Source organism: Homo sapiens, chromosome 18 (genome assembly GCF_000001405.40).
Source record: "Homo sapiens chromosome 18, GRCh38.p14 Primary Assembly".
In the NCBI taxonomy this organism is placed as follows: Eukaryota; Metazoa; Chordata; class Mammalia; order Primates; family Hominidae; genus Homo; species Homo sapiens.
Window position 1 is genome coordinate 21,446,398 of NC_000018.10, and position 12,322 is coordinate 21,458,719.

The 12,322-nt window shown below is 40.9% G+C and overlaps 1 protein-coding gene, 1 long non-coding RNA gene and 1 other non-coding gene across 31 annotated transcripts in view; 1 reads left to right on the top strand and 2 right to left on the bottom strand.

The window, feature by feature from the left end:
* Nucleotides 1-4,650, bottom strand: part of GREB1L-AS1 (GREB1L antisense RNA 1) — a 71,004-nt gene extending 66,354 nt beyond the window's left edge. Inside the window, exon 1 of the long non-coding RNA NR_187982.1 lies at nucleotides 4,486-4,650. This is a non-coding gene — a long non-coding RNA (GREB1L antisense RNA 1). The remainder of the gene's footprint in view (nucleotides 1-4,485) is intronic.
* The window catches only part of GREB1L (GREB1 like retinoic acid receptor coactivator), a 283,881-nt gene that overhangs the window by 204,166 nt on the left and 67,393 nt on the right, over nucleotides 1-12,322 (top strand). For 16 of the 29 annotated variants that reach the window (XM_006722547.4, XM_011526179.4, NM_001410867.1 and 13 more), the window contains 4 exons: nucleotides 3,113-3,439; nucleotides 4,626-4,754; nucleotides 5,686-5,820; nucleotides 7,969-8,166. In XM_006722547.4, the coding sequence (XP_006722610.1) occupies nucleotides 3,113-3,439; nucleotides 4,626-4,754; nucleotides 5,686-5,820; nucleotides 7,969-8,166 (789 nt within the window). The remainder of the gene's footprint in view (nucleotides 1-3,112; nucleotides 3,440-4,625; nucleotides 4,755-5,685; nucleotides 5,821-7,968; nucleotides 8,167-12,322) is intronic. The other 13 variants (NM_001410868.1, XM_017025994.2, XM_017025996.2 and 10 more) reach the window with 3 other exon arrangements.
* LOC124900410 (small nucleolar RNA SNORD23) lies at nucleotides 4,256-4,359 on the bottom strand. The gene has a single exon (XR_007066482.1). It is a non-coding gene; the product is annotated as a small nucleolar RNA SNORD23 (small nucleolar RNA).

Sequence of the window (12,322 nt, forward strand, 5' to 3'; positions counted from 1 at the left end):
TATCTTTTCTTAAAGTACTAAATGCTCTTATCTTTTGTAAAGAAAAAGAAAAGAAAAGAAAAAAAGAAACAATTTCAATTTAATTACACAGATTCTTCTCTGACCTGCAGGATCAGTTCTTTCCTGAATTTGACTTGCAGTCAATCAGTTAGGCCTCTCGATATACATGAATAGCTATTTCTCTTTTAAAACCTAAGCTTTGTACATTGAGACATCTCTATCCCTCAACAACTGTTCTGGAGTCCTTTATTTATTTATTATTTATTTATTTCTTTATTTCTTGCCTCTGGAGGTTTCAAGAAGGCAAGCAAGAATAGTTTCACATATGGCATAGATTATAGACATTTAAAAAAATAAATCTAAACTTCTAAAAGGATTTTTAATACTTCAGCGGCTCAGTTACTTAGAGGTATCAGAGAAGAAGAAAAGCAAGATTCTTCAGAAGGAACCATACCTCTTCACTACAGTCACTTTTAAAAAATCTCAGTCATTTCACAGTCAGAAAATCTTTGAAGTAGATAATGAAATCAGCAAATCCAGAGATTCTTGTAAGGCTCTGAGTCTATTTAAACCTTGACTTTTCCTATTAAGGTAGTTCTTTCTGAAAAGTCATTAAAACTGATACCTCAGCTAACCTAAGTTATTGGAGATCAGCACTTGAAGGAAAAGATTATTGTTATCAAGCTTGCGAAAGTGGAGAAAAGACACCTGCAATGTAATTGTAAAGGCTGAGGATGAGGTACTGGGTGTGGTGGCTCACGCTTGTAATCTCAGCACCTTGGGAGGCTGAGGCAGAAGGATCACTTGAGCCCAGAAGTTCAGAACTGCAGTGAGCTATGATTGTGCCACTGTACTCCAGCCTGGCAGACAGACAGAGACCCTGTCTCTAATTAAAAAAATTTAAAAAAAAAATTTTTTTAAAAGGCTGAGGATGAAAAAGTGATAGTTGATTTTTGGAAACAAGGCATTTTACTCTAAGAAGTCTCTTACCTCATTTAAACTTAATACCTTTTCCTCCACTTCTTGATTCCTAATTGTACATCAGTCAAAACTGTATAAAAGCGAGCTTTAAGGCAACAAAGGATGTTGTGAACATGTTTAGTAATTTTATTTTCCCAGAATGCCTTTGTGCTTTCAATTAATTATGCCTCCTGATAGAATATGTTACTTAGTCCTGGAGTGAGTCTTATGGACTACTAACCAGGCCCCTGAGCTTTCAGGTTGTTAATGAAAGACGGTAGGGAATTGGAGACAGCCAGGGCCACCTGCTTTTCAGCTGTCATGTTCTGGTGGAAGAAAGCGTTAAATAAATGACCACCTTCTATCCACTTTGAGCTCACTGAAAAGTGTTTACCTAGTGACAATTAACCATGATGCCAATTTGATAAAGCTGAATGAAGATCAGACATCTTGGTGGCTCCTAGGTGATTTTTTTTTAAAGAGCATCCCTCCACATTCCCAGCAAGTTTTTTGAGGACAGTAGAGGCCAGGCACGGTGGCTCACACCTGTAATCCCAACACTTTGGGAGGCTGAATAGGGTGGATACTTGAGGTCAGGAGTTTGAGAGCAGTCTGGCCAACATGGTGAAACCCCATCTCTATCAAAAATACAAAAATTAGCCAGGCATGTTGGGCATGCCTGTAATCCCAGATACTCCGGAGGCTGAGACAGGAGAATTGCTTGAGGCCAGGAGGTGGAGGTTGCAGTGAGCCGAGATCGCGCCACTGCACTCCAGCCTGGATGACAAAGGGAAACTGTCTCAAAAAAAAAAAAAAGCAGCAGCAGCAGCATAGAAGAAACACAGACATAATGTATACATTACCATTTTCTTGCCCTGTTTCCATGTATAGAGGAGAAAAATCTGTTTATGAGAATTCTACTCTCCTACCTCTCCCTGGCCTCCACCCAATCCTGGAAAAACTGTTTTCTCCAATTAAAATTGTTGTTTTTATAATGTATAAGATTTTATTTAATTTTCCATATCTGAAGAGCATTACTAAACACCTCATTTTCTTACTTTCCCAGAAAAGATGGGAAGGGCCAGAGAAACCACTTAGATCCCTATTAGAGGAAGGAATGGGTCTGACTCATTTGTGGTGCCTCCTTCTCATGCAGAAGTCCAGCCCATCACCCCTTTGTTCTTCCATAAGGGGCTTTTAGCCATGGGTTCTGGGGCTGTTGCTTGGTCTCAGATCACAGACACTGAGGTGTCTGAGCTGGTTTATGGGAGCCTGAGTTTCAAATATTGGGTTCACACAGCAAAAGAAATGATTGAATAGAGGGAGTGACTGTATTCTCACTGCTTTCAATTTAAACTAAATGTTGAAATCTTAGTTCATTTGTGTCATTTGGATACCAAACATTGACTTGCTTATTTTGTTCTAAAGGCTGGTTGAGTTTCTAAAGAGAATAAGGAAGAAAATCCCCCTGATTCCAGGGGCCACAGGTCAGCAGTATAAGTTTTGCTCCAACTGGTTGGAGAAGAGGGCCAAATGGCATATTTAACAATCCAGAATGCTGGGGAATAACTAGATCATGAAAGCGTTCTCTATCTGGGAAAAATGTGAGGCTGCCTCCAATATCACTTGGGAGTGAAAAATAATTAAACTTCATTTCCTGCACAGTATTCTCAAAATTAGGCTTAGAAGCAACACATTAAAATGTTTTCCAAAATGCCTATGACTAAAATGAGAACTGAAACTTAAAATCGGTTATATACCAGTAGGTTGGCTTCTTTTTTCATTAGTCATTAACAATTTCTATAATGCCAAGCTTAATAGGTCAAGAAATATGCCATGTGCAAGGACCAGCTCCGAGGGCATACAGTGGAATTAATGGTTTCTCTTGGTACCTCCTCTTTTAAAGAGATCAGGAATACAGAAAAACAGAAGCCTGATTTTTTTTACAAAGATTGAGGCAGAAAGAAAAATAATTTCCAACAGGGAATGATTAGTAGGGACTCTATACTTGTGACCACTCCAAGAAAAAGAGGTTATTTTCTAGTTGGAGTATGTATGATGGGCTGAGAAGGACTGCAGGAAAGCATATGGGTGTGTGTGTCTCTCCTCCCTGTGATTCTTTAAATTCCAGCTGTAATTCTCTTCTATATAGGTCCTGATCAGGTACCTCTCAGGGAAGAATTTGAGCAAATTATGCTGAAAGCTATGCAAGAATTTACTCTGAGAGAAAGAGCCCTGCAGATAGGTGCTCAGTGTGTCCCTGTGTCACCAGGACAACTCCCCTGGCTTGCTAGATTAATTGCCAGCGTATCTCAAGACTTGGTTCATGTGGTTGTGACCCAGAACTCTTTGGCGGAGGGCATTTCAGAGACCTTAAGGACTCTCAGTGAAATGAGACACTATCAAAGGCTGCCAGATTATGTGGTGGTAATTTGTGCATCGAAAATCAGAGGAAATGAATTTTGTGTGGTAGTGTTAGGTGAGTAATTTTTTTGTTTTTTGTTTGTTTAATCAATTCATTCGACCATTTTTCCATTTAAAAATGTGTGTTATGTGTTTCAGGCATCCACATAATCAACCTCTGATTAATTGCTGGAGCTTGGGCTCATCCTCCTAATTTTAACTTTCCCTTTCCTTCTCAGATCAGGTTTTGTGTAGCCCTCAGTTTGGCTGGTGCCCCTGTCAGCTGGTTGTGGGAGCATTATTTCAAAGCTCTCCCTAGTAACAGATACCCCTGTCTCATGTAACTGCTGTCCTTTAAAGATTTTGGAAATGTTACTACTCTAGCATGTGATAAAGCCAGTGCCACAGGTGGCCTAAGCCAGTTAATCGAATTTGCCAGAAAATTAGCTCATATATTCCCCTTCTCACTGAACAGTCTATTTAATATTGTAACATAGTCTCTAAAGAAAAGATTCAGAAAGTTGGTACACTACAAAATTGGGGGGTGGGAGGGGATTTTTGTTTGTTTGTTTTGCACTGTGCAGATTTTCTATCAGGCACCCTCTTGGGTAGCCATTTGGACTACATTTTGCTTCTCTCTTCTCTGTACTGAATGGCTCTCACCTCTTCCAGCAAAGAAGCTAAGAAAACCCCCTCACTTTGACAAAACCTGTCTGCCCATTTTTCTGTGCTACATGTATTTCCAGAAAGCTTCATCAGTGTGATACATTAATATTTTTTCATTTTTATTTGTAAAAAACATGTTTATATTTTTAAAGCAAATTCATTATAACCATGCAAGCACAATTTTTATAAGGTTTTTCATACTCTTCCCTAGTCTGTTTTTCCCCCATGTTCTCAGCCCCTGGGCATCTGCCCAATTGGCCAGCCCTGGGGCAGCCATGGTGTTGCTCACAGCCCCTGGCGGGGACAGGGACCTTCCTTAGTCATTAAACACAAACGTGCATATTTTCAGTTACATAAGGTACATCATTTTGTTCCCCTGATCATCTGTATTATAAACATTTCTGTTTCTGTCTAGAGTCAGAATTGATATTTCAAATGCTATATAATTGTCCATACCTTTTGATGTGTCATAATTTTCTTAACCCAAGTCCCTATAGTGACATCCTTTGATTGTTTCCAATTGTTGCCATTATAAGTAATGTTCCAGCAACATTTGTTCTGTTGATGAGTCTTCTCTTCTCTCCTCCATCCTGCAGGTCAGCACCAGTCCCGAGCTCTGGCAGAGAGCATGCTCACCACAAGTGAGTTTTTGAAAGAAATTAGTTATGAGCTTATCACAGGAAAGGTCAGTTTCCTGGCATCACATTTCAAAACCACATCATTAGGTGAGTGGTTGTAAGATTTGGCAACACTGGCAGCCCCTAGTTGTATGATTTTCTGAGTTTAAATCTTAGCCTGTCAAGATGAGTGTGGAGCTCAAGCTTGCCAGCTGATCTTTCATTTGAAATGGTTTATCCTAAGTATTTTGTCACTAACACCACAGGAAGCAGTAAGGGGGTCTAGAGGAAGGCCCATTGGTACTGGATTCAAAAGTCTCAGCTCAGCCACAACCTTGTTGAGTGACCTTGGGCGAGTTTCTCTCTCCCTGGAACTCGGTTTGTTCGTTCGTTCCTTCCTTCCTCCTTCCCTCCCTTCCTTCTTTCCTTCCTTCCTTTTTTTTTTTTTTTTTTTTTTTTTTTTTTACAGTGTTGCACTCTATCGCCCAGGCTGGAGTGCAGTAGCGTGATTATAGCTCACTGCTTGACACCACCCCTCTTCACGGGCTCAAGCGATCCTCCCACTTCAGCCTCCCAAGCAGCTTGGACTACAGACATGTGCCACCATGCCTGGCTAATTTTTTAATTTTTTGTAGAGACTGGGTCTCCCTTTGTTGCCCAGACTGGACTCCAGCTCCTGGCCTCAAGCAATCCTCCTGTGCCTTGGCCTTCCAAAGTGCTGGGATTACAGGCATGAACCACTGCGCCCAGCCTGGAACTCAGTTTTCTAATCCCATTCTGTCTGCTTTTGAGTATTAGGGAAGTCAAGAGAGATACAACATGTGAAAGCATGTAAATTATAAGCACTATATCAATGAGAGTAGTTCTTGATATAGAGACACCAGTATACTATAAAGATGGCCAAGTGTAAATGCTGATATGAATTGCTGGCTGACCAACAAATCTACTGAGAACAGCCTAACTGCCCAACTTGGGCAGTTAATAAAAATGAAACAAACATATCCTTCCTTGTAACCTTCTTATCTCTATTTTGTAATAGGCGATGACCTAGACAAGCTGCTGGAAAAAATGCAACAAAGAAGAGGAGACAGTGTGGTTACCCCTTTCGATGGAGACCTTAATGAATGTGTGTCACCCCAGGAGGCTGCTGCTATGATTCCCACACAAAACCTGGGTAATGTCATCTCAGACCAAGAGGAGGAAGTCAGTCCTTGGGACAGACATTGTAAAAACTAAGTCATTCTAAGGGTTTTGAGGATTCTTCAAGTCACAGACCACAACAGCCTTTTCCTGATTGTCTACATGATAAACCTGGTTGAAATTAAAAATGCTTTCCCATGTGGCCTGGATCAAAGGCTTTGTTCCTAGTAAAAGTCTTCTGGAATGAAAATCAAAGTCAAAGACTTTATCTTAAGCACTCTCTCTTTTTTCTCTGAAAGATTCCAGGACATTGGCTCATTTTCCTTAGCTCCACCAGCTGTGCCCAGAGGACTTCAAAAAACCGTCTGAAAGAGTCAGACTACAGGCAGTGCAGGGTCCCCAGCTCCTGCTCCTTCACTTCCTGTCTGACTTGTAAAACACACATTATCTCAGGGATAGTGAGGCTTTATTGGCAGATAGAGCAGCGCTACCAACATGTCATCTGCCCTACAACAAGCTTCAGGGGCTCAAAGTGGGAGTGTCAGGGATGAGGAGTCTGATCATTAAGACTGGATTCATTTGGGTTCAGATTTCTTCCCCAATTCACTGATTGACAGGAATGACATAGGACAGGACAGAAAAAAGAACAGGAGAAAGGATAGTTGGGAGACAGACCCATATAAGCTGCTGCTGACAGCCACTTGGCCCCCACTTGATAGGAATGTATCATTTATATATTAGGATTGTCTCAGGCAATAAAAGTAGCATGGCTTGGCAGTCAGCTCTGTTGTTAAAACAAATGCAAATATAGGCAGTAAAATGTTTTGACTTCTCAATGGTATTTGGTAATAAAGTGATGATCCGGATGATCTAAAATGTGTTTATATTAACTGTTTTGAATTGTTAACACATTTAGAATTTAAACATTCTGAGAGGACTTACAGATTCCGGAGTACATTCTTGGTTCCCTGTTTAAAAACCTTGTTTAAAGATGTTTTTGAAATAACAGCCTAACTGTATTAAAAGACAGATATATTTTGATTAGTAGTCTGTGGTACAAAGACTATTTGGGCTTCTATTTAAAGTTGCAGGTTTGGGCTTTTCCAGTGGATTCTCTCAACTACTAGGGAGACCATCCATCTAAATCTCCACTTGCTGTCAGTATCCATGGTAACTGGGATATGTTGACGGCTGTCTTTGCCTCGGCTGCATTTGATTTTAGAAAACATTAATTAGCACAGGTTAATTAGGCCCTGTTGCAGTTAAACTGCCACATGTGTTCCTGATAATAACCAGTGCTTTAAAGAAGCATTGGATGTTGCCTGCTCACGTGTTTAGCTGACTAAACTTCTTTCATTGTGTGTGTGGATGTGCATGCACGTATAAGAAAGATTGATCGCTTGATTATACTTGCAATAAAAAGCTACTGACCTGCTTAGAGTATCTGGGAAATGTTTTTGTAATATGTCACCTGCTGAGTGGCCAGCTGGCTATGTCATGAGTCAGGTGTCTTCAGATAGTCCAGGCATCAGCACTGGAGCTGGCCACAACCACCTAGACCTGCTAGGTCACAGCACTGGCAAAGTGGAGTCCAGTGGGAAGAAAGGTGAAGGTCGTGTCTCCATGACCCACGTTATGTAGTGACTGGGGAGGGAATTTCCGACCATGTTGCAACTGACTTGCTAAAGAGGAAATATTTACTGTAGTGCCTTCCAGAAAAGCTCAGGGGAACTCAGCATCATGATCATTATGGCATCCCCTCTTTCCTTGAACTGGGTCGGGGCTGGAGAACTGGCCTGTGCTGATATTTCTAAAGAAAACTGGAAATGCTACCCTTTCCAGGGATGAGTCTTGGCTCCAGCTGCGACAGTGTAGTCGGTCTCCTCCACTTCTGGGTTGGGATAGGGGTGTTGAATTAGGCATTTGTGAGATAATCAATCAATTTTTAAATAATACATTTGCAAAACTGCAGCATCCACTCCTGAGCACATCCTCTCATCCACGTTTCAGGGAAAATAGGCAAATCTATTAAAACTCAATAGAGAGTGCAAATAGCAGGTGAGAATTCGTAGTGAGAGTGTATTACATTACCGTCTGTGTGGTATGTGTCCTCATAGAGATTCACAGTGGCCATTAGGGAAGTAAATTAACCTTGTTCTTATGACTTCTCTTTAAATTTTAGATTTAGATAATGAAACCTTCCACATTTATCAACCGCAGCTAACAGTTGCCAGAAAACTCTTATCCCAGGTGTGTGCTATAGCGGACAGTGGCAGCCAGAGCCTGGACCTCGGTCACTTCAGCAAAGTAGACTTCATCATCATTGTTCCCAGATCGGAGGTGTTGGTTCAGCAAACTCTTCAGCGGATTCGACAATCAGGTAAGAGTGAACTTTCAAAGAGGAGCCCACCTAGATCCAGCTTCAGATCCCCTCTGCCTCTTTCTTTTGCTTAATCCAAACGTCTAGAGGATGCTTAAAACCTTCTTCAGTAATAAAAATCATAAAAGCACTTTGTTATTTTGGGTTTATCTGAAGTTTTCCCTCAAAGTACTCTGTCCTTTTTCCCTCAAGGTCAAGGGTAAATTGTTGTGCATGTTTGCCAGGTATCATTAAGTTCATGATGTAATCTGTGGGACTAGAATCTGGTCATTTATGGATGAAGAGAAATTTTCTCAAGGCGAGGATGGCCCTGCATGGGTTGATGGCGTCTGTGCCACCTGAACTCCTCCCACCTGCAGGCCTCATTTGCATAGGTGGATTCTTGGCCATCTAGCACATTAACAGCACGTCTGGGACCTGGAAACCAGAACACCATCCCCCATGTCAGCAATGACGTTCTTTAAGAAAAAAAGGTTAGCGTTATTTCTAATAACTTTAAGTGTAAAGAAAAAAAAATGTTTTTCCCAGAAAATGTGAAAAGGTAGAGAGCAAAAATTTTACAAGTCTAAAAAAAAAAAATGTTACAAGTCTGTGGTAAATAATATCCCTTTTCAGAAATAAAATTTGATTAGAATTACAAGAAGTTATAAGGAATTTAGAAACTTGAAACAGCTGTAAAATGCTTGCCTTTGTAAACTAGGTTTGAAAACGAAATTATAAATGTCAAGTTGCTTCTGATTACCTTAGCTGAGGAAAACACACACACACACACACACACACGCAGATTTTAGATCTGGAAGATGACTGTTTTTGCCACAGTAAAGAATTTTACTTTCGGCCGGGGGCGGTGGCTCGCACCTGTAATCCCAGCACTTTGGGAGGCCAAGGCGGGTGGATCACTTGAGGTCAGGAGTTCAAGACCAGCCTGGCCAACATGGTGAAACCCCGTCTCTACTAAAAATACAAAAATTAGCCAGGTGGTAGTGGCACATGCCTGTTATCCCAGCTACTTGGGAGGCTGAGGCAGGAGAATCACTTGAACCCGGAAGGCAGAGGCTGTGGTGAACCAAGACACTGCAGTCCAGTCTGGGTGACAGAGTGAGACCCTCTCCCAAAAAAAAAAAACAAAAAAACAAAGAATTTTACTTTCAATATATTTAAAAACAGGTAGGAAGCAGAAAAATCCAGAAGTGCTTAAAATGTGGTTTATATGTTCATACCTGTCATATTGTGCCTCTCAAATTTTATCCTACATAAAGATCACCTGGGGATCTTGCTAAAATGCAGATTCCACTTCAGTGAGTCTGGGTTGTGCTCCGGATTCTGCATTTGCTTTTTTTTTTTTTTTTTTTTTTTGTGAGACATAGTCTCACTCTGTTGCCCAGGCAGGAGTGCAGTGGTACAGTCCTGGCTCACTGCAACCTCCACCTCCTGGGTTCAAGCAATTCTCCTGCCTCAGCCTCTTCCAAGTAGCTGAGATTACAGGTGTGCACCACCACTCCCAGCCAATTTTTGTATTTTTAGTAGAGACAGGGTTTCACTATATTGGCCAGGCTGGTCTTGAACCCCTGACCTCAAGTGATCCACCAGCCTCAGCCTCCCAAAGTGCTGGGATTACAGGCATAAGCCACCATACCCAGCCCGGATTCTGCATTTCTAACAAGCTTATAGTGAAGCCAGTGTCAGAAGACCACACTTTGAGTAGCATGGCTCAGTGAGAAATCTTGCTTGATTGTACTTTTAAAAATAACTAAAAGAGTATTGTAATTGGATTGTTTGTAACACAAAGGATAAATACTTCAGGGGATGGATACCCCATTTACCCTGATGTGATTATTACACATTCCATGCGTGTATCAAATTTTCTCATATGCTCCATAAATATATACTCCTACTGTGTACCCACAAAATTTGAAATTAAAAGTTTTTAAAAAGGCCTCTTGTTCCAGAGGCCAAATGAGCTGACTGACAGTACATTTTTCCCTGTTTCTATCTCTTTAACCCCTCTTGGTGGCTGTGACTGACATGTGAAGTTTTGTCCACACCTTCTGGAGTCCCAAGTGTCTGGTTGACAGTGCAGTCTTCTTTTTAGCCTCTCAGTTTTGGAATGACAGGTTACAAAATGACTTGTTGGAAATATCGACCTGTAGGTGATGAGCTGGAAAAGGTCAAATGCCTTCTCTCATGGCTCTCCCAAAAACCAAAGTGAGTTCTCTCTCTCAGCTACCGGCTTCTTTCTGCATTTATTTTTCCTGCCCCTTCTCCAGTATGGGGAGTGGGTTGTTGTCGGTCACACCAAGCAGTAGCCAGATTTTTTGTTATTTCATATGGATTTTTTTCCTTTCGTAACATGGAGGAAGGGCCTTGTCTTTTAAGTATTTTACTTGTACCATTTGGCATTTGTGGCCTCCCTGAGTTTGTGATCTGATATCCCAAATTGTGCTTGAGCAAACACATCATGGCACCTGTTTGAAGTGACGAAATCATCTGCAGAGCCTTTTCCTGAAATAACCTCTCAGTGACCTGCACTTTCACCTTTCCTAATAAATGCAAGCTCCTAAATAAAGCCTTACATTTTTGACAGATGAATAAATTGTGCAGGTTTTTTCCTTTCTCTTCTCAATGCCCTCAGATTTTTCTAAAGTGTTTTAAGATTATCACCTCTCAAAAAGGTACCAGAATTTGACCAATTATGTAAGCTTAGAATCCAGAAAAAAAAAAATCATTGTAATAGACATGTTTGGCACACTCAAAGCAAAGCATATTTTTAGAATTATTCACATCTGGCTTTGGCATACATACTGAAATTTTTGCTGCAAAAACAATCACTTCTGTATATTTAAACATACCTTTATTTTGTTATAAAAACATGATTATGGTATGCCTTATTTTTAAAAAATAAAGTAGAAACCTTTAAACATTTATAATCCTACCATTCAAGGGTAACCACTGTTAAAATGTTGGCATTAACAAATAACTTAATACCTAGTGTTCCACCTCTCTTCCCTACCTCTGTTTTTTTCACTTGGCATTACAGTGTGTACCTCTTTCCATGTCATGAACATCTTTTGTGAGCATCATTCTTAATGAATGTATAGTCACATCATAATTACAAAAAAAGTATTTATTTTGATATTTAAATACCTTCATATTCTTGGAACACATACCAATTGATAGAAGAGAAAGGACTAGAAGCATGTTAAAATGTACGGAGAAATTGCTCCGGGTAGAATAAATAGCAGGAGAGCATCCATTAAAATAACTCTTTAAAATCATAGCTGTTAAAACAGAAAGTTTTTAAGAAATCATCTGACTTAGTTTCCTCATATGTCATCATGTGAATTGAGAAGAGCCTAGTTTGCCTGAGATCACAGAGGGTAGTACCTTGAGAGCAAGGACAGTTTTTTTTTTTTTTTTTTTTTGAGGCCGAGTTTTGCTCTTGTTGTACAGGCTGGAGTGCAGTGGCGCGTTCTTGGCTCACCACAACCTCCACCTCCCGGGTTCAAGCGATTCTTCTGCCTCAACCTCCAGAGTAGCTGGGATTACAGGCATGCGCCACCATGCCTGGCTAATTTTTTTGTATTTTTAGTAGAGACAGGGTTTCTCCATGTCGGTCAGGCTGGTCTCGAACTTCCGACCTCAGGTGATCCACCCGTTTCGGCCTCCCAAAGTGCTGGGATTACAGGTGTGAGCCACCGCGCCCGGCCCAAGGACAGTTTTTTTATTGTTGCATGTCTAGTGCCTCGTTTCATGCCTCTCTTGGGCCTGGCACCAGCAGGTGCTCAACTGATGTTTGAATGGAGGGCTAGAAGGAGAAAGAGATGGGCAGAAGGAGAAACAGTGTCCAAGGTCTCTGTGTCCTGGTTCCATTTGCCTCCTTTACTAAAGAAAGCATTCCAGCAGAGTCTGCCAGGAAAAGCACCCAGGCAGGGAAGAGCTGCCAGAGTATGCAGAAAGGGCACATCCTTGGCAGTGCCTGCATGGCTGAAAGTAAAAGGATGAAAATAGAAACCATCACGTTGTTGCAGATCCAGCACTAAAGTGAAGCATTTGAAACCTCAGCACACATTCTGATGAAGAAATGAAGCAAAGAGGGGAGGGAGGAGGAAAAAGGAAAACAAAACAAAATATCATGGACAGAATTTGAAGGTTAAAA